This window comes from Homo sapiens, chromosome 1 (genome assembly GCF_000001405.40).
Source record: "Homo sapiens chromosome 1, GRCh38.p14 Primary Assembly".
In the NCBI taxonomy this organism is placed as follows: domain Eukaryota; kingdom Metazoa; phylum Chordata; class Mammalia; order Primates; family Hominidae; genus Homo; species Homo sapiens.
Genome location: NC_000001.11, coordinates 245628451 through 245651118, shown reverse-complemented (window position 1 = coordinate 245651118; position 22668 = coordinate 245628451). Strand labels below are relative to the sequence as shown.

The window sequence follows — 22668 nt, the reverse complement described above, 5'->3', positions numbered from 1 at the left end:
TCATCGCTTTTGTGGAACACAGCCTTCTGGAAGTGGATGTTGCCTGCGGTGTTTGCTCGTGGCCTGCAGCTTGGATCACAGATTGCCTCAGGCTCTACCAGAGAGAGGAGGAGGCGAGCTCAGCACAGCTGCTGAGACCCAAAGTGTCTCAGTGACTGATCTCAACAAACAAGGATTAGGTCTGGGTCTGAACCATAGACCAAACCCGTGAGAGGGAGGTGCCGGGCATCATTTCCACGACAGGATGGTTATGTAGCACCATTTTTCAAGATGACTGGGAGAAGCATCTCAGACAGGCATGACATGAGAGGGCCACAGAAGGACTTTCCATGAACTCTTGTTAAAGGGCAGCCAAGACATTAGCAACTAGCTGTTGTTTAGAAACAGAGTGTTTAGAAACACTGTGTTGGCAAATAAGCAAACAGGTCATATGACCCATTAAAGGAATTCTTTCTCCATATGGAGCAGCAGTCATCAATGAAGGTAAATGCTTCAGGGCTTGAAGGACGCCTGCATGACAGGTGTGTGCTTTCTAAGGGCCTGTGCCCTCTACAAAGCAACATCTAAGAGAACCAGAAATTCTATTTTGAGATAATTGGGTCATGGTGAGAATCTGAGTCTCGAAAAGCTGTGGTCCTTCAGATGAGCTGGGACATAACACCCGTTAGCCGAAGCTCAGTTCACCCTGACAGATCCTTGTGGCGGTTCTTCTGGGGGCCAACTCCTGTGGGATGTGCAACACTGGGTTTTGGCCTGAGAAGTCATTTCAACGCTTCTGCCTATTTTTTCTTATCCATTAAATGGGAAGATTCCTAGCACCTTGGTGCCCAAGAGCAGTAAGGAACAGCAAATGAATGTACCGAATAAAGAAAATTTGCAAATGCACTGTCAAAATGATCGAATGAGGGCAGGGTTCCCTGGAGGTGGAGGCTCTCAAAAATTAGAGAGTAATTTGTGCAGCCTGTCAGTGCAGAACTGACGAGGGGTTGGAGCCCTTGGTGGTCTCCCTGCCTTCCCTGCATGCTTTTCTGAATGGTGCCACCGTTGAGAACTGATTTATGGCGCCTGGACTGGCCGGCAAGCCTGTGCCATGTAATGTGCCTGTGCTGTGTAATGGCTGAGGTTGGAAACCTGCTCCACGCCTCCTGCATCTTCAAGGGCAATATCATTTGCAAAGTCAGAAGCATTCAGCGCACATGGAGGGTGCCTGTGGGAATGCCTGGGATGGGTAATGAATCCAAACTCACTTTCCAGCTTGCTCACATGACAAATAGCCTGGTAAGATGATGAAGAGGAATGAAGACAGGCTACAGCCCCTCTGTGCACATTGCAGCGAATTTCCCAGGAGCAAGCACAAGTAATGCAGGTTCCAAGTACAGAGTTGTCTGGGGAGACAAATGAAGAGGTAGTGGGGTGTCTGTGTTTTTTGGGGGGGGTGGGGGAAGGAAAGAGAATATGGAATTTGGTTTTCTATTTTTGTTCCCCCCGCCACCCTCCGTAAGTGAGCAGGAGGAGTAAGAGGAAACCTCAAGGGCAGGAAACTTCCACTTCTCTAAGGAACGCACTGCAAAGACAAGGCTTGACACCCTGAAGGTGTTTAGTATGCTAACAAAATGCTGCATAATGTGGCTTCAGAGCACTGACGGAATTGATCAAAGAAATCGGGGCTTTCCTGCTGTGCTGGGCTCCCCTGCCGTGCGCAGTGAAGGCAGCTCCGACATTTCGGGAGCTTGATGAGAAGTGGGCGTGGGTCTGCAGTGAGGCTGGGAACTGTCGAGGCCTCTGAAGCTGTGAGGAGCGAGGCAGTTTGATCCTGCCACCCACTGGCTGGGTGATTTGAGTAAACCTTTGCCTTATCTTCCTGTACCTCAAAAGAGGACAGTTTCTAGTTGATGAATCACTTTGTAAATGTACATTTGCAGATGCCAAATATTGAATCTAGGCCGTGGTCCAGACTCGGAGAAAACATTTCGGCAAGGGTCTTTTTAAGATCACGTACAATGAAGGGCATTAGGACACTGAGGGGTGACAGAACAAACGCACTGGCCAATGGATGTTTTGGGAAGGACAGCGCTGGCTGGATGGCCAGGGCCACCGTGTTTCCAGCACCAGGCAACCCAGCAAGGTCTCGATGAGTTGTGTTAGGCAGGGCAGGGCAAGGGCAGCTGGTGAGTCTGTACCCACGCCATCAACAGCTCAACCAGGCCACGGGACAGCTCCAGGATTGGGTCTTGTGCTGACACTGCATGGAAGCTAGTCTGCTTACTTGAGACACAGAAACACTTTAATGATCACTCTCTTGGTGCCAGAATAGAAGGAAGGGGACTCCTGGAATGAAGGCAGGCAGCTGTCTGCAGGGACTGGTGAGTGGAGATGTCTCCCAGGAGGGCAGGTAGCCAGTTGGTAGGGCCAGCATGTTAAAAATATGCTTAATTAACACGAAGCTTGAACGATTAATACAAACTTTCATTTATTTTTTTTTTTTTGAGACAGGGTCTCACTCTGTTGCCCAGGCTGGTGCAGTAGCGCAATCTCAACTCACTGCAGCCTCTGCCTCCTGGACTCAAGCCACCCTTCCACCTCAGCCTCCCAAGTAGCTGGGACTACAACCATGCAACACCATGCCCGGTTAATTTTTGTATTTTTTGTAGAGACAGGTTTTTGCCATGCTGCCCAGGCTGGTCTCAAGCAATCCTCCCGCCTCAGCCTCCCAAAGTGCCAGGAATATAGGTGTGAGCCACCACGCTGGGCCATAAAAACAATTTTTAATGTTTCCCTACTCATTTATAAAAAACCCAACTCTAACTAAAAGGAAGTTACTTTAAATTAAAAATAATTTCATGTTTACATGCATCTATCTTCCCGCCATCAATTCAACAACTATTTATAGAAATCATAAAAGCATGTCGCCCTGCAGAAACAGTGTAAAAGCTATAAGTAAGATATGTAATCAATGACCTCCTGCTAAGGTGCAATTTGGAATTTTATCTATATCATGATCTATGAAGTTCTGACATTAACAGACATGATTCTCATTTTATGGAAACCAGTGAGTGCTAGTACTCTTCCCTTCATCTCCAACTCCAACGGTTTCCCTCCCCTGCCCTTTCTCCCCACAAGCTGAATTTACTCAACTACAGAAATGACATCGAATGAAACTCTATAATTCTTCAACTCAGAATATTCTCCCATAGAAAAGGGTTGTTACAAGAGCCGGGAAAACCATTTCTGGGTTTATCCAACTAGGATTCCAAATTTCTAGAAATGAGATGGACAGGATTATAATCACCATTTAAGCTCCTAAAGTCAGTCCAGTAATGGTTCTCCTGGTAGGAAATAAACTCACAATGTATTTGGTGGGGGGGTCTGGCATCAACATAGGGCTGAGGGGAAGAAAAACTCCAGCACTCATTGTGAATCTCAGTAATTATAGAATACACTGCCCGACTTTTTCCTCCTACACAACAGCAACGTAGGTTTTGTAGGGTTTTTACAGATAAAACCATGAATCCACATATATTTAGTTAATCTTCACCTCATGGCAACTCTGTAAGGTCGGTGTTTTTTCCCTTTAAATAGGTGAGGATAGGCTTGACTAGATAGGTGTAACCAGACTTTCATCATTGGTTATTGGCCATAGTGTCCTAAATTCTACAATAAATTTTCTTTTTTTTCTTTTTTTTTTTTTTTTTTTGAGAAGGAGTCTCGCTCTGTTGCCCAGGCTGGAGTGCAGTGGCGTGATCTTGGCTCACTGCAAGCTCCGCCTCCTGGTTTCATGCCATTCTCCTGCCTCAGCCTCCTGAGTAGCTGGGACTACAGGTGCCCACCACCACGCCCAGCTAATTTTTTGTATTTTTAGTAGAGATGGGGTTTCACCGTGTTAGCCAGGATGGTCTCAATCTCCTGACCTTGTGATCCACCCGCCTCGGCCTCCCAAAGTGCCAGGATTACAGGCATGAGCCACCGCACCCAGCCTACAATAAACTTTTATACATGTTTTATCATTTTGAGCCTTATATTTCTGTGATGTAACATGTATAGCTTTAACCCTCATTTTAGGAAGAATGAAGGTTCATGCAGCTAGTAAGAGGCTCAGCTAGGCCTTGGCAGAAGCCTGGACAGCCAGTCAATGGCCTGCCACCACACGGTCCAATGAGAACGCTTAGTTGGGGTGATGGTGGTGGAGTGGCTTTGTCTCTGCCAGACATAGGAGCGGCTGTAATTTAATTGGAGCAGTAGTAAAGAGACAGGAAGGATCCTGGAAGTGACTAAACATTTGCATGGGAAGGCAGGTGCTAACTCCCCTAGCTTTCTGAACTCCCGAGATTGGGTTGCCAGATAAAATACATGTCACCAGGAGCGTCCCATGCAATGTTGGGGTGCATACTTATAATACAACCTTATTTGTTGGTTATCTGAAATTTGAATTTGCCTGGATATCCTATATTTTTTTGGTTAAGTCTGGTGGCCCTACCCCTAAGGATAAGCCAGTCTTCCACCCCTCACTCTCATCACTATGAAACAGGCACATCTTTATTATGGTGACAATGACCCACCACCTTCATTTGCGAGTGGAGACCTCAACTGAGATAATTTCCTATTTCCTCTAATTTGAGCAGCCTAAAGTTAGAACTGGAATAGATTTAAGTATTTCCAAAAGTTTTGAATTTGGGAGATCATGCATTACACAACTGTTAGCTAAGGCTGGTCTCTGGCACTGAACTTATAATGGGGTCCAGGCTGTCCCTCTGTGGCACACCTCTCCACAGATGGCACTGAACAAAGCGTCCCACACCATGCTTACCCCACCACATTCTTTGAGTAGAAGAGTCACTTACTTGTATGGAATGTGTTTGCTGCCATTGACGAGAGCCAGGATGACATTGCCCAGAGCAGACAGCGAGAGACACAGCCCTGAGCCTCCTTCTCGATTTTTGCTAAGAGCTTTCACACAGCTGCCGAGATCAATGAGATGCAGGCGGCTGCGACCTCCAGACACTACCACAGGGGAGAAGATAAAAGAGAAATGGTTAAGTTCTGACAAACACTCATCTGTTCTTCATGTAGCTCCTTGGGAAATCTGAGGCAAAATGAGAAGGGGAAGTAAAAGGTTGACGTTCATGACCTACTAGGAAACCCCAGAAAAATCACGCTGGGGTTGCAAATAGCATTGGTCCTCTTAAATTCTTTCCACCACGCACCACTGACCTTCTAAAGCCTACTGACATTCACACTACAAATAAGTGAATTCAAATAATTCTTGCAGGTTGAACTGAATGAGATTTTGGAGAAAATAAATGTCAAATTACAGGAGGATACGTTTCTACCTAAATGCCATTTGAATAGCAGAATTCTGAAACTCATCAAGTTAAAACCTGAATGGCTCATGAGTGATTACCTGCTTTGGTTGATCGTTATACAGAAACCAACCTAAAGCTCAGCCAGGAATCAGGTTGCAAACCCAAGACAAAAATCAGGAAGAAGTAACGACCAGGTGCAGAGACAGGGAAGACCCAAATATTTGCTGAGTATCTGCCAAGTGCCAGGTGCTGTACAAACATCAGTTTCGTTCAGTTCCCACAGTAGAATCATAAGCTAAATACTATTATCCTTTCTGTATTGATGAGAAAATAACTGTTCAGAAAACTTAAGCAACTTGCCCATGAATACCTCTGCTGCTGAAGTACAGGGAGACCAAGGTGGCAACAATTTACAAGACAGAGTACTGCAGAGGAGAGAGCTCTAGAGATTTGCAGAAGGTCCCTCAAGTGTTCAGCTGAGTACTGATCAGCACACCTGATGTAGTTTGGATGTTTGTGTCCTCCAAATCTCATGTTGAAATGTGATCCTCAATGTTGGAGATGTGTCGTCCACCCCCATGACCCAAACACCTCCCAGCAGGTTCCAACACTGAGAATCACAGGCGTCGTGTTGAAGTGTGATCTTCAGTGTTGGAGATGGGGCCTGGTGGGAGGTGTTTGGGTCTTGGGGGTGGATCCCTCATGAACAGCTTAGTGCCCTTCCCATGGTAATGAGTGAGTTCTTGCTCTTTAACTTCATGCAAAAGCTAGTTGTTTAAAAGATGCTGGCACCTTCCCCCTTCTCTCTCCTGCTCTCTCTTGCCATGTGACACGCCTACTCTCCTTTCACCTTCCACCATCATCGTAAGCTTCCTGAGTCCTCACCAGAAGCAGATGCTGGGTGCCATGCTTCTTGTATAGCTTGCAGAACTGTGAGCAGAATAAGCCTCTTTATAAATCACCCAGCCTCAGGTGTCTTTTACAGCAATGCAAAAGGGACTAACACAACATTCATGTGAGAAAACTATTCAAGGCTCAGAAATTAACTACCTAAAAAGATTGGAGATAATGGTGCACAGCACTCACACAAAGCCAGGAATAGTGCCACTTCCTAACAGCCAGCCTGGAAAACTTCACAATTCACAGGGCATTGGGTTGAATACCCAGAAGTCTTTCCCATACTTAGCCACAGACTGAACACTGACCTGATCCCACCTAACACATATTAAAAGCAAAACAAAAAAATGATCAAACTGTTTCCAAGTAATGCAACTGCATTCTAAAACAAAGCTTAAGAATATTTACAAAGTAAAGACTCGGGAAAATGAAACCCATAATGAAGAGATAACTGAAACCAACCTAGAACTAGCATAGATGTTAGAATTGACAGAAGCAGCTATTTATTAAAACAGTTATTTCAACTGTATTTCAGATGTTCAAAAAGTTAAGTAGAAACATGGAATATATATTTAAAAAGACACAAAACTGAACCTCTAGAGATAAAAACTACAATGTGTGAGATAAAAAAAATATAGTAGATGAGATGAATGGCAGATTAGATATTGCAGAATGAAAAATCAGCAAATTTGAAGATCTAGCAATAAAACTATTCAGAATAAAATATATAGGGAAAAAAAACAACAAATAAAACACAGAAAAAAAAGAGCTGTAGGACAACTTCAAGTGCCTGCTATGTGTAATTGGAGTCCCTAAAGGAGAAGACAGAGTGTGGTACAAATAAAATATTTGAGAAAAATAATGGCTAAAACTTCCCCACATTTAATGAAAGTCATAAACCCATGTATCCAAGAAGCTAAGTGAGCCCCAAGCACAAAGGAAGAAACTATATCAAGGCACATCATAACCAAACCGCCCAAAACCAGTGATATAAAGAAAAATCTTGAAAAGAGCCAGAGAGAAAAAAGCACGTTACATATAAAGGAACAAAGATAAGGATGACGGCAGATTTCTCATTGGAAATACAGGTGAGAAGACAGTGGAGCAATGTTTTTAAAGTACTAAAAACTGTCAAGTTAGAAATATACACCCAGCAAAAGTATCATTCCAAAACAAAAGGGAAATAAAGATATTTTTTGACTTAAAAATCCTAAAAGAATTCACCATAAGCAAAAACACAAGGAATATAGACAAAGGAATGAAGAGCTTTGGAAATGATAACCACATGGGTAAATATGTAATTTTTATTACTTTAAATCTCTTTAAAAGATTATTATTAAAACAAAAATCATAATGTAACGTGTGAATGATGACATATGTAAAATTAAAATGTTTGATAGCAATAACACAAAAGTCAGACGGGAGAAATGGAAGTATACTATTGTAAGGTTTTTATTCCTTATATAAGTGGTATAATATCACTTTAAATTAGACTGTGGTAACTTAAACATATATATTACAAACACTAAAGCAATAATTAAACAATAAAAGTAATAGCTAATAAACCCACAGAAGATGGAAATTGGAACCATTTAAATGTTTCATAAATCCAAAAGAAAGCAAAAAAGAGAGAGAGAGAACAAAGATCAGATGGGACAAATAGAAAACAGAAAATAATATTTTGAACCAAACCATATCAATAATCATATGAAATTGAAATAGTCTAAAATACCCTTATTAAAAGGCAAAAATCGTCAGATTGGATAAAAAAGTGAGGCTCTACTATATGCTTGAGAAATACACTTCAAATAGAAATAAACAATCATTTAAACGTGTAAGTGTGGATAAGGCAAACAGTAACCATAAGAGCTGGAGTGGATCTACCAATATTAGACAAAAGAGACTGAAGACAGTCAAAGACCTATCCCATTTGTGCTAAGACCCGCAGAGAGGCATGTACAGCACCTCCTGCTGCAGTCGTGGAACTATCCTATTGATGCAGTGTCCTCCTGGGAAAGACATGCCTTCTGATACAAGACTGGGCTCTCCAGCTTCTATTCCACAGCAGATCCCAAGAGGGCCCAGTCACAGCTCCAGACCCTCTCTCTGTAATCAGATAACTATTCTATCTCTACAGGAACTTGCTGGGTGACACACACCCCTCTGAGCTGAGACTGACCCCTTCAGTATCTGTCTCACAGCAGATCTTATGAGGGCCCAGATTCTGCTCCAGCTCCTCCTGCTGATAGTTGGGGAACTATCCTGTCTATGCAGGGACTTACTAGAAGATGCATGCCCATTTGAGCCAATGTGGCAGGTATGCCAGCCTCCATTTTTTTTTTTTTTTTTTTTTTTTTTTCTGAGACGGAGTCTCGCTCTGTCCCCCAGGCTGGAGTGCAGTGTTGCAATCACGGCTCACTGAAAACTCTGCCTCCTGGGTTCATGCCATTCTCCTGCCTCAGCCTCCCGAGTAGCTAGGACTACAGGCACCCGGCCACCCTCCATCTTATAGCAGACCCTGAGGAGGCCCAGTCTTGGCTTTAGCTCCTCCTGTTATGGGCAAGAAACTACTCCACTTGTGCAGAGACTTGCTGAGTAACACATGCCTGTCTCAGCCAATGAGAAAGGCCCATCAGCCTCCTTCCCACAGCAGATTCTGAAGGGGTCCAGTCTCAACTTCTGCCCCTCTTGCTATAGTTGGGGACACAACCTACCTGTGCAGAGACCTGCTGGGAAGTAGACTTGTCTGGGAAACTAGGACAGTCTTCAGGACTCAGGTCCCTGGTGGCCAGTGTTCCCACATAACACAAGTACCGTCATTGGGTCTTCCCCAGGTCCGTTTGGGCCAGAAAGCCATTGTGAGACTCACAGCAAGCCAGGGAATAGAGTATCCTCTAATGCTGAGATTACTGTGGTGATCACAGGGAACACAATAGTCAGTTGGCTTAGAATCTCTGGAAGACCCTCTGAAGAAGTACAGGCACAAACAAAGCCAGACTAGGAAGACTAAAATATTTAATCTCTCAATGTGTAGATATCATCATACTTCAAGCGTCAAGAACATTCAGGGAAATATGATGTCAAAGGGACAAAGTAAGGCACCAAGACTGGCCCTAAAGTGATGAAAATATGTGATCTCTCAGACAAATAATTCAAAATAGCAGTTTTAAGGAAGCTCAGTGAACTTCAAGAAAGCTCACAGAAATCTCTCAGAGAAAGTTCACAGAAAAGATTTAAAAAATAAAATTAAACAGAAATCCTGGAGGTAAAAAATTCAATAAATGAAATGAAAAATGCAATAGAGCGTATCAGAGGAATTGATCAAAAAGAAGAAAGGATCAGTGAGCTCAAAGACAAGACTATTTGAAAATAGACAGTCAGAAGAGAAAAAAAAGAATAAGAAGGAATGAACAAAGCTTATGGGACCTATGGACCAACATCAAAAGAGCAAATATTTGGGTTAGTGGAATTAAAGAGAGAACTGAGAAAGACAAGAAGTTGCAAGCTTATTCAAAGAAATAACACAGAACTTTCCAAACCTGGAGAAAAATATAAATATTCAGGTACACAAAGGTCAAAAGTCACCGATCAGATTCAACCCAAGTGAGAAGACCCCAAGACATATTATAATTAAACTCACAAAGGTCAAAGGCAAAGAGGGTCCTAAAAACAGTGAGAGAGCAAGAAAAAAGCAAATAACATACAACGGACATCAAATACACCTGGCAGCAGACTTCTCAGCAGAAATTTTACAGGTCAGGAGGGAGTGAGATGATATTATTCAAAGTGCTGAAGGAAAAAAAAAATGTTCCCCAAGGATACTGCACCAAGCAGTTATTCCTCAGAAATGAAGGAGAGATGAGTTTTCCAGAGAAAACGTATCACTACCAGACCTAGCCTATGATAAATGCTAAAGAAGTTCTTAAAAGCATAGGAAAAATAATGCTAATGTGATTGTTATATTGTAATCATGGCATCTAAACCATTTAAAATTTTATTAAGAAGATTAAAAGACAAAACTATTAAAAATAACAACTATAAAATTTTTGAGGTAGGCAAATTTTGATCTTGTGACATCAAAAATTTAAAATGTAGGAACAGAAGGGAATTAAAATGCATGTGTTTTTTTCTTTTTGTTTCTTTTCTTCTGCTACAATGAAAAGTTAAATTGGTATCACTTTTAAATAACTTGTTATAATTACAGGATGTTTTTGTAAGCTTCATGGTAACCTAAAGCAAAAATCTATAATTGATAAACAAAAAATAAAAGCAGCAAATTAAAACATGCTATCAAAGAAAATCACTTAACCACAAAAATAAGAAAGGAAGTAAGGAGGTACACTATATAACAACTAGAAAATAAGTAATAAAATGGCAGTAGGAAGGCCTTACCTATCAATAATAACATGGAATGTATATGGACTAAATTCTCCAAATAAAAGACATGGAGTGGCTGAATGGATTAATAAGTAAGACCCAAGTATATGTTGCCTACAATAAACTAACTTCACCTATAGAGACACACATAGACTAACAGTGAAGGGATGGGAAAAGCATTCCATGCAAATGGAAACCAAAAGCATTCCATACAAATGGAAACCAAAAATGATCAAGACTAGCTATACTTCGATCAGATAAAATAGACTTTAAGTGAAAAACTATATAAAGAAACAAAGGAAATTGTTATATAATAATTCAGCAAGGAGTCAATTCTGAAAGAGGATATAACAATTATGAATATATATAACCAAATAGCAGGGTATATATATATATATATAGAGAGAGAGAGAGAGAGAGAGCAAATATTAGTAGATCTAAACAGGAGAGGTAGACTACAATACAATAACAGTAAGGGACTTCAACACCTCACTTTTGGCAATAGGTGGATCATTCAGGCAGAAAAATCAACAAAGAAACCTCAGAATTAAACTATACTCTAGACCAAAGGGACCTAACAGATATTCACAGAACATTTGATCCAACTGCTACAAAATACACATTCTTCTCATCAGTACATGGAACATTCTCCAGGACAGACCATATGATAGGCCACAAAACATGTCTCAACAAGTTTTAAAAAGTCAAAATCATATCAAGTATCTTTTCTAACCACAACAGAATAAAACTATAAATAACAAGAAATGTTGGAAACTATTCAAATATATGGAAATTGAATAACATGCTCCTGGATGATCAATGGGTCAATGAAGAAATTAAGAATGAAGTTTAAAAAGTTCTTGAAACAAATGAAAATGGAAATACAATATGCCAGAACCCACGGGATACAGAAAAAGTAGCACTAATGGAAAGTTCTATAGCAATAAATACCTACATTAAAAATATAGACTCCAAATATAAACAACCTAATGTTGCACCTCAATGAACTAGAAAAGGAAAAACAAACCAAACCTAAAATTAGTAGGAAAAAAATGAGTAAAGATGGAGCAGAAATAAATGAAATTGAGACTAAAATAACAATACAAAAAACCCCAACAAAATAAAAAGTTTGTTTTTTTGAAAAGCAACAAAATTTTAAAACCTTCAGTTAGACTAAGAAAAAACAGAAGACCCAACTAAATAAAATCAGAGATGAAAAAGATGACATTACAACTGATACTACAGATACACAAAGGATCATTAGCGACCATTATGAATAACTATATGCCAATAAATTGGAAAATCTAGGAAAAAATGGAAAAATTCCTGGAAACATATAACCTACCAAAACTCAACTGTGAAGAAATAAAAACCTGAATAGGCCAATAACAAGTAATAGATTGGAACAGTAATAAAAAGTCTCCCATCAAAGAGAAGCCAGGGAACTGATGGATTTACTGCTGAAATCTACCAAACATTTAAAGAATAACTAATACCAATTCTACTCAAACTATTTTTAACAATTGAAGAGGAGGAAATACTTCCAAACTCATTCTACAAGGCCACCCTGACCTTATTTCCAAAGCCAAAGATAACAAAAGAAAACTACAGGACAATATTTCTGATAAAAAGAGGGAAAAATCCTCAACAAAATACCAATAAACAGAAGACAGCAATATATTAAAAAGACCATTCACCATAATCAAGTAGGATTCATCCCAGTGATGCAAGGATAGTTCAACATATGTAAGTCAAATAAGTTTAATACATCACACATCAACAGAATCAAGGAAAATATATGAATTACTTCAATAGATGCTGGAAAGGTAGTCAGTAAAATTCAATATCCCTTCGTGATGAAAATCCTCAACAAATTTATAGAAGGAACATACCTCAACAAGATAAGTGTCATATATTACACACTCACAGCTTATGTCATACTGAATAGGTTAAAATAGAAAACCTTTCACTAAGATCTGGAATAAGAAAAGGATGCTCAGTGGTGAACTATAAACTGTAATTATTCAGTATAGTACTAGAATTCCTAGCCAGCACAATAGGGCAAGAGAAAGAAATAAAGGGCATCCAAATTAGAAAGGAAGAAGTCAAATTATTCTTGTTTGTAGATGACATGATCTTATATTTAGAAAAATCTAAAGATTCCACCAAAAAACTTTTAGAACTGATAAATGAGTTTAATAAAGTTGCAGGATATAAAATAAACACGCAAAATGTGTAACATTTCTATATGCTATCTGTGATCAATCTGAAAGGAAATCAAGAAAGCAATCACAACAGCTACAAAAACATACCTAGTAAAAATTCAACCAAAGAAGTGAAAGATCTCTACAAGAAAAATTATAAAACACCAATGAAAGATATTGAAGAGCACATAAATGGAAAAATATCCCATGCTCAAAGAAGAATTAATATTATTAAAATGTCTATACTACCCAAAGCAATCTACAGATTCACTGCAATCCCTATCAAAATACTCATGACATTCTTCACAGAAATAGAAAAAAGAAATCTTAAAATTCTTATAGAATCACAAAAAACCCGTAGTAGATAAATCAATACTGACCAAAAATAACCAGGCTGGAAACATCATACTATCTGATTTCAAATTATACTACAAGCTATAGTAAGCAAAGAGTATACCACTGGCATAAAAACAGACACATAGAAGACCAATGGAATACAATAGAAAACCCAGAAATAAATCTATGCACTTACAGCCAACTCATTTTTGACAAAGGCACCAATAACATACATTGGGGAAAAGACAATCTCTTTAATAAATGGTGCTGGGAAAACTGGATATTCATATGCAGAAGAATGAAACTAGAGCTTCATTTTTTATCACATTATGAAAATCAACTCAAAATGGACTTAAATTTAAACCTGAAACTATGAAACTGCTGGGAGAAAACACTGGGGAGATACTACAGGACATTGGCGAATATTTTTGGGGTAAGACCTCAAAAACATAGGCAATAAAAGCAAAAATAGACAAGTGGGATTACATCAAGCTAAAAAGCTTCTACACAGAACAGGAAACAACAAAGTGAAAAGATAACCTACATATGGAATGGGAGAAAATATTTGCAAATTATTTGACAAGGGATTAATAACCAGAATATATGAGGAATTCAAACAACTCAATGGGCCAAAACCCCCCAGATAATCCAATTTAAAATGAGCAAAAGACCTGAATAGACATTTATCAGAAGAAGACACACAAGTGGCCAAGAGGTATGTGAAAAGATGTTCAACATCACTAATCATCAGGAAAGTGCAAATCAAAACCATAACGAGCTATCATCTCACCTCAGTTACAATGGCTATTATCAAAAAGACAAAAAACAAATGCTGGAGAGGATGCAGGAAATGGTGAATGCTCATACACTTGGTGGGAATGTAAATTAGTACAGCCATCATGGAAAACATTCTGGAGGTTTCTCAAAAAACTTAAAAGTAGAACTACTGTATGATCCAGCAATCCCACTGCTGAGTATATATCCAAAGTAAAAGAAATCAGTATATCAAAGAGGTATCTGCACTACCATGTTTATTGTAGCACTATTCACAATAGCCAAAATATAGAATCAGTCTAAGTGTCCATCAATGGGTAAATTAATAAAGAAAATGTGAGATAGATACACACACACACACACACACACAATGGAATATTATTCAGCCATAAAAATAATGAAATCCTGTCATTTTAAGCAACATGGATGAAGCTGGAAGTCATTATGTTAAATGAAATAAGTCAGGTATGGAAAGACAAATATCCCATGTTGTCACTCATATGTGGGAGCTACAACAGTGGATCTCATGGAGATAGAGAGTAGAAGAGTGGCTACCAGAGGCTGGGAAGGGAAGGGCAGAGGGTAGGATAAAGAGAAATTGGTTAGCAGGTACAAACATACAGTTAGATAAAAGGAATGAGTTTTAGTATTCAATAGTACAGTAGAAGAACTATAGTTAATAATAAACATTCCCAACACAAAGCAAAGATAAATGTTTGAGGTGATGAATATCCCAATTTTCCTAATTTGATCACTACACATTGTATACATGCATCAAAATATCATGTGTACTCCAAAAATATGTACAACTATGACACACAATTTAAAAATGCCAAAAAAGACTGAAGATGAAAAATGTTGTTAGAGTCAAAAAAAAAAACGTTCTATAATGAGAAATGAGATAATTCATCAAGAGGTCATAATAAAAAAATTTATGTGGCTCATGTTCTAATCCATGAAGAACAATCTGGTAGAACTGCATGAAGAAACAGACAAGTCTTTAATTATAGTTGGCAATTTCAAATACCCCCATCTCAAAACTGATATGACAAGTAGACAGAAAACCATAAGGATATAAATTTGAACAATACTATCAAATATCTACTTGACACAGAACATTCAACCCAACAATAGCAGAATACACATTCTTTTGAAGTGCACACAAAGCATTTACCAAGATACACAGTATTCTGGTCCACAGAACAAGTCTAAATAAATGTTAAGGATTCATGTCACTCAAAGCATGTTGCCTGATACAATGGAATTAAATTAGAAGTCAATGTAGAACAATATCTGAAAAACCTCCAAATATTCTGAAACTCCACAACTTGGCCCCAAACAGCCTATGGTCAAGGAAAAATTCAAAATGAAAATTTTAAAGTCTTTTTAAGTGAATAGAAATGAAAATGCAACCCATCCAAATTTGTGAATAACCCTGAAGATGTACTTAAAACAAACGTATAGCATTAAATGCCTATATCAGAAAGCAACCATGGCTTCAAATCAATGATCTCAGCTTACACCTTAAGAAATTAGAAAAAGATGAGCAAATTATAGACAAAATAATAGCAGAAAGGAAAAAAAAATAGCAGAAAGGAAAAAAAATAGCAGAAATCAACGAAACAGAAAACCAAAAACAATGGAGAAAAGTCGATGAATCAAAAGTTGGTTCTTTGAGAAGATCAACAAAATTTGTAAATCCCTAGCACAAATGATCTGGGAAAAAGAAAGACACAAATGATCAATATCAGGAATGAGATGGCCTCATCTAAAGTTCCTACAGATATCAAAAAGATAATAAAGAAACATTATGCCAGTAAATTAAACAATGTGTAAGAATGGAAAAATGTCTTGAAAGATGAAAAATTCCAAAGCTCTTTCAAGAGGTAATAGATAATAAAAATGGCCCTAGATTCATTAAAGAAATAGAATCTGTAGTTCACAACCTTTCCACAGGTAAAACTCTAGGACCAGATGGAGGCACTGGTGAATTCTACCCACCATTTAAGGAAGAAATAATAACAGTTCTACTCAAAGTCTTCCTGAAAATAGGAAGAAATACTTCCCAAGCTATACTATACTAATCTGATACCAAAAGCAAACAAGTATGTTGTTTGAAAAAAAAAAAAAAACACAAAAACCTGCAGAACAATATCCCTCATGAACATTGCCAAAAAAATTCTAAATAAAATATTAAAGAGCCATATTAGAAAATTGTATCTAGGGCTAGGCATGGTGGCTTACTCCTACAATCTCAGTATTATGGGAGGCTGAGGTGCTTCAGGCCCGAAGTTCAAGACCAGCCAGGGCAACATAGCAAGACCTCATCACTACAAAAAAAGTATAAAAAATTAGCTGGGCACAGTGGTGCACACTGTAATCCTAGCTAGTTGGGAGGCTGAGATGGAAGGAAGGATTGCTGGAGCACAGGAGTTTAAAATTGCAGTGAGCTGTGATCATGCCACTACACTCCAGCCTGGGTGACAGAGTGAGACCCCAACTCAAAAAAATATTGTATCTAGCAACAAATACAAAGGGTTTTATACCATGAGCAAGTGAGGTTTATTTCAGGAATGCAAGGTTGATTAACAAAAAAAACCTAATCAATATAATTTACCATATTAACAAACTGAAAGGAAAACTATATGATTGTTTCAGTAGATGCAGAAAAAGCATTTACCAAAATTCAGTCATTCCTGATAAAAAATCCTCAGCAATATATAAGTAGAAGGCAATATCCTCAATTTAATAAAAGGTATCTACTAAAAACTAAAGCTAACATCATACTTAATGGTAAAAGACTAAATGCCTTCCCTCTAAGATTGGGAGCAAGACAAGCATGTCCACTCTCACCGTTTCCATTTAACATTATACTGGAAGTCCTGGCCAGTACAATAAGGCAAGTACAATAAATGAACGATATCCAGATTGGAAAGAAAGTCAAATGATCTTCATTGGTGATATAGTCACCTATAGAAAAATCTAATGGATGCAATCCACAAAAAAGGTACTAGAACTAATAGGTGAGTTTAGGAAGGTTGCAGGATATGAGGTCAATGGACAAAAATCAATGCATTTCTTTATCATAGTAACAAACAATTAGAAATTAAAACATAAGGCTGGGTGTGGTGCCTCGCACCGGTAATCCCAGCATTTTGGGAGGCCAAGGCAGAAGGATCACTTAAGGCCAGGAGTTCAAGACCAGCCTGGTCAACATAGTGAGACCCCATCTCTACAGAAAAATGATACAAAAAGAAATTAGCTGGGTATGATGTCATGTGCCTATAATCCTAGCTACTCAGGAGGCTGAGGTGGCAGGAACACTACAAATTTGAGGCTGCAGTGAGCTATGACTGTGCCTCTACAATCCAGCCTGGGTGTCACTCTGTCACCCCAACTCAAAAAAAATTAAAAATACCATTTACAACAACATCAAACACATGATTTAGAGATATGATTAAAATGTGTACATAAAAACCATAAAATATTGCTGAAAGCTATCCTTAAAAAAAGATGAAATATTGCTGAAAGCTATCCTTAAAAAATGAATGAAAAGTAAAGTCTTTCCCAAACAAGAAAAAATGGAGGGAATTCACCACCACTAGACAGGCCCTGTGAGAAATGCTTGAGGGAGTTCTACATCTGGAAGCAAAAGGACAATAACTACCACCGTGAGAATACGCAAGACTGAAAAACTCACTGGGAGAGCAGATACACGAATGAGAAAGAGAAAGGAGTCAAACATCACTACAATAAACTACCAAATCATCAAGGTAAGCAATACAAGAGGAAGAAAGGAACAAAAAATATACAAAACCATCATAAAACAGTTTACAAAATCACAGAAGTAAGTCCTTACCTATCAATGACATCCTTGAATGTAAACAGTTTAAATTCCTTAAGTAAAAAATATAGACAAGATGAATGGATTTATTTAAAAAAAAAAAAAAGACCCAACTGTATGCTGTCTCCAACAAATGCATTTCATTTGTAAAGATGCACATAGAATGAAAATGAAGGGATGGAAAAAATTATTCCATGAAAATAGAAACCAAAAGTGTGCCAGAGTAGCTATACTTACATAAGACAAAATACAATGTTAGCCAAAAAACATAAAAAGTGACAAATAAGGTCATTATATTAATATAATGATAAAGGGAACAATTCAGCAGGAGACTATAACAATTGTAAATATATATGCAGTCAACACTGGAGTACCCAGATATATTATATAAAACAATTATCATTAGAGCTAAAGAGCTTGACCCCAATGCAGTAATAGTTGAGGCCTCCACCACTCCATTTTATTATTTATTATTTTTTGGTATGGGGTCTCACTCTGTCACCCAGGCTGGAGAGCAGTGGTGTGATCTTGGCTCACTGCAGCCTCAATCTCCCAGGCTCAAACGATCCTTCCACCTTGGCCTCCGGAGTAGCTGGCACTACAGGTGCATGCCACCACACCCAGCTAGTTTTTGTATTTTTTCTAGAGACAGAGTTTCACCATGTTGCCCAGGCTGGTCTCAAACTCCTGAGCTCAAGTGATTGGCCCGCCTTGGCCTTCCAAAGTGCTGGGATTACAGGTGTGAGCCAATGTGCCTGGTCCTGGTCCACCACTCCGCTTTAGCACTGGACAGATCAACTAGACAGAAAATCAATAAAGAAACATTGAACTTAATCCGCACTACAGACCAAATGGATCGAACAGATATTTAGAGAGCATTTCATTCAAGTGCTGCAAAATACACAACCTTATTATCAGTACATGGAATATTCTCCATGATAGACCATGTGTTAGACCACAAAATAACTCTCAACACATTTTTAAAAGTTGAAATCATATCAAGCATCTTAGATCACAATTCAGTAAAACGAAATCAATAACAAGAACTTTAGAAACTGTACAAATAAATGAAAATTTAAAACCATGCTCCTACATGAAAACATGCTCCTAAATGAATGAAATAAAATCTTTTTTCTTAAAACAAATGAAAATGGAAAAACACCATTCCTAAACCTACGGGATACAACAAAAGCAGTAGTAAGAGGGGTTTAGAGTAATAAATGTTTTCCTCAAAAAAGGAGAAAGATTTCAAATAGACAACCGAATGATGCATCTCAAGGAACTAAAAAAGCCAAAGCAAACTGAGCCAAAAATCAGAAGAAAGAATAAAGATCAGAGACGAAATAAACACACACACACACAAAAATTACAAAGGATCAAGAAAATAAAAGCTTGATTTTTGAAAGGAACCAAAATTGATTAAACTGTTAGACTAACCAAGAAAAAAGATCCAAATTTTAAAAAATGAGAAATGAAAAAAATACCACAGAAATACAAATGATTAGAGTCTTATGAAGAACTACACACGAACAAATTGGAAAGCTCAGGTGAAATGGATAAACTCTTGGACACATACAGCCTTACAAGATTAAATCAGGAAGAATAAAAAAATCTGAACAAATAATGAGTAACAAGAATTAATCAGTAATAAAAAGTTCCCCAACAAAGAAAAGCCCAGGACTTTAAAAGTTCAGTAGAATTAAGGAGTAAAGTAAAACCAATTCTTCTCAAACTATTCCAAAAATTGAAGAGGCGGGAAGTCTTCCTAATTCACGCAACCAGGCCACCATTATCCTAATACCAAAATGAGATACCAATATCCCTGATGAACATAGATGCAAAAATCATCTAAAAAATACTAGCGAACCAAATCTAACAACACACCAATAACATAATACACCATAATCAAGTGGGATTTATCCTAGGGATGCAATGATGGTTCGATGTATGCAAATCAATAAACGTGCACATCACATCAACATATGAGAGACTAAAACAACAAGATCATCTCAATAGACACAGGAAAAATATTTGATAAAATCTAACATCCTTCATGATAAAAACTCTCAATAAGTTAGGCATAGAAAAAACATGCCTCAGCATAGCAAAGGTCATATATGACAAACCCACAGCTAACATCATAATAAGTGGGGAAAAGCTAAAAGCCTTTTTTTTCTAAGAACTGGAACAAGACAAGGATGCCCACTTCCACCACTGTTATTCAACATAGTACTGGAAGTCCTAGCTAGAGCAATTAGGCAAGAGAAAGAAATAAAAGGCATCCAAACTGGAAAAGCGAAAGTCAAATTGTTCCTCTCTGCAGATGGCATATAATAATTAGAACAACCTAAAGATTCCACCAAAAACTCTGAGAACTGATAAATTTGGTAATGTGGCTGGATACAAAAATCAGTAGTGTTTCTACACACCAGCAACAAATAGTTGAAAAAGAAACCAAGAAAGCTACCCCATCTACTGTAGCTACTAAAAAATACCTAGGAATAAATGTAAGGAGGTGAAATACCTCTATAACAAAAACTTCAAAATACTGATAAAAAAATTGAAGAACATAGAAAAAAATGAAAAGACATCCCATGCTCATGGATCAGAAGAGTTAATATTATTTATTTATTTATTTATTTACTTCAAGTTCTGGGATACATGTGCAGAACCTGCAGTTTTGTTATATAGTTATCCATGTACTATGGTGGCTTGCTGTACCCATCAAACTGTCATCTAGGTTTTAAGCCCCACATGCATTAGGTATTTGTCCTAATGCTCTCACTCCCCTTTCCCTCAACCCCCTGACAGGCCCTGGTGTGTGTTGTTCCCCTCCTTGTGTCCATGTGTTCTCATTGTTCAACTCCCGCTTATGAGTGACAACGTGTGGTGTTTGGTTTTCTGTTCCTGTGTTAGTTTGCTGAGGATGACGGCTTCCAGCTTCATCCATGTCCCTGCAAAGGACATGATCTCATTCTTTTTTATGGCTGCATAGTATTCCATGGTGCATATGTATTACATTTTCTTCATGCAGTCTATCATTGATGGACATTTGGGTTGGTTCCATGTCTCTGCTATTGTAAATAGTGCTGCAATAAATATATGTGTGCATGTGTCTTTGTAGTAGAATGATTTATATTCCTTTGGGTATATACCCAGTAATGGGATTGCTGGGTCAAATGGTATTTCTGGTTCTAGATCCTTGAAGAATCACCACACTGTCTTCCACAGAAGTTGAACTAATTTACATTCCCACCAACAATGTGAAAGCGTTTCTATTTCTCCACAGCCTTGCCACCATCTATTGTTTCTTGACTTTTTAATAATCACCATTCTGACTGGCATGAGATGGTATCACATTGTCATTTTGATTTGCATTTCTCTAATGATCAGTGATGTTGAGCTTTCTTTCATGTTTGTTGGCCACATAAATGTCTTCTTTTGAGAAGTGTCTCTCCATATCCTTTGCCCACTTTTTGATGTTTGTTTTTCTTGTAAATTTAGGTTCCTTGTAGATTCTGGATATTAGACCCTTGTCAGATGGATAGATTGCAAAAACTTTCTCCCGTTTTGTAGGTTGTCTGTTCACTCTGATGCTAGTTTCTTTTGCTGTGCAGGAGCTCTTTAACTTAATTAGATCCCATTTGTCAATTGTGGCTTTTGTTGGCAATTGCTTTTGGTGTTTTCTTCATGAAGTCTTTGCCTCTGCCTATGTCCTGGCTGGTAGTGCCTAGGTTTTCTTCTAGGGTTTTTATGGTTTTGGGTTTTACATTTAAGTCTTTAATCCATCTTGAGTTAATTTTTTTATAAGGTGTAAGGAAGGGGTCCAGTTTTAGTTTTCTGCATACGGCTAGCTTTTCCCAGTACCATTTATTAAATAGGGAGTTCTTTCTCCATTGCTTGTTTTTGTCAGGTTTGTCGAAGATCAGATTGTTGTAGATGTGTAGTGTTATTTCTGAGGTCTCTGTTCTGTTCCATTGGTCTATATGTCTGTTTTGGTACCAGTACCATGTTGTTTTGGTTACTGTAGCCTTGTAGTATAGTTTGAAGTCAGGTAGCGTGATGCCTCCCAGCTTTGTTCTTTTTGATTAGGATTGTCTTTGCTATATGGGCTCTTTTTTGGTTTCATATGAAATTTAAAGTAGCTTTTTCTAATTCTGTGAAGACTGTCAGTGTAGTTTGATGGGAATAGCACTGGATCTATAAATTATTTTGGCAGTATGGCCATTTTCACGATATTGATTCTTCCTATCCATGAGGATGAGATGTTTTTCCATTTGTTTGTGTCCTCTCTTATTTCCTTGAGCAGTTGTTTGTAGTTCTCCTTGAAGGGGTCCTTCGCATTCCTTGTAAGGTATTCCTGGGTATTTTATTCTCTTTGTAGCGATGGTGAATGGGAGTTCATTCATGATTTGGCTCTCTGTTTGTCTGTTGTTGGTGTATAGGAATGCTTGTGATTTTTGCATTGATTTTGTATCCTGAGAATTTGCTGAAGTTGCTTATCAGTTCAAGAAGTTTTTGGGCTCCAATGATATAGTTTTCTAAATATAGAATCAGGTCAACTGCAAACAGAGACAAGTTGACTTCCTCTCTTCCTATTTGAATATGCTTTATTTCTTCCTCTTGTCTGATTGCCCTGGCCAGAACTTCTAACACTATGTTGAATAGGAGTGCTGAGAGAGGGCATCCTTGTCTTGTGCTGGTTTTCAAAGGGAATGCTTCCAGCTTTTGCCCATTATGATATTGGCTATGGGTTTGTCATAAATAGCTCTTATTATTTTGAGAAACGTTCCATCAATACCTAGTTTATTGAGGCATGAAGGGTGTTGAATTTTATTGAAGGCCTTTTCTGCATCTATTGAGATAATCATGTGGTTTTTGTCATTGGTTCTGTTTATGTGATGGATTATGTTTATTGATTTGCATGTTGAACCAG

The 22668-nt window shown here is 38.3% G+C and overlaps 1 protein-coding gene across 1 annotated transcript in view, besides 1 other annotated feature; it reads right to left on the bottom strand.

The window, feature by feature from the left end:
- Positions 1-22668, bottom strand: part of KIF26B (kinesin family member 26B) — a 554448-nt gene that overhangs the window by 58314 nt on the left and 473466 nt on the right. The window contains exon 10 of the mRNA NM_018012.4: positions 4839-4998. Coding sequence (NP_060482.2) covers positions 4839-4998 — 160 coding nt within the window. The remainder of the gene's footprint in view (positions 1-4838; positions 4999-22668) is intronic.
- Positions 2111-2624: an enhancer, noted in NCBI's record as "H3K4me1 hESC enhancer chr1:245811797-245812310 (GRCh37/hg19 assembly coordinates)". NCBI's record gives its function as "activates a minimal SCP1, AML or CMV promoter by ChIP-STARR-seq in naive H9 embryonic stem cells {active_cell/tissue: H9 hESC(naive)}" and the evidence as "EXISTENCE:reporter gene assay evidence [ECO:0000049][PMID:30033119]".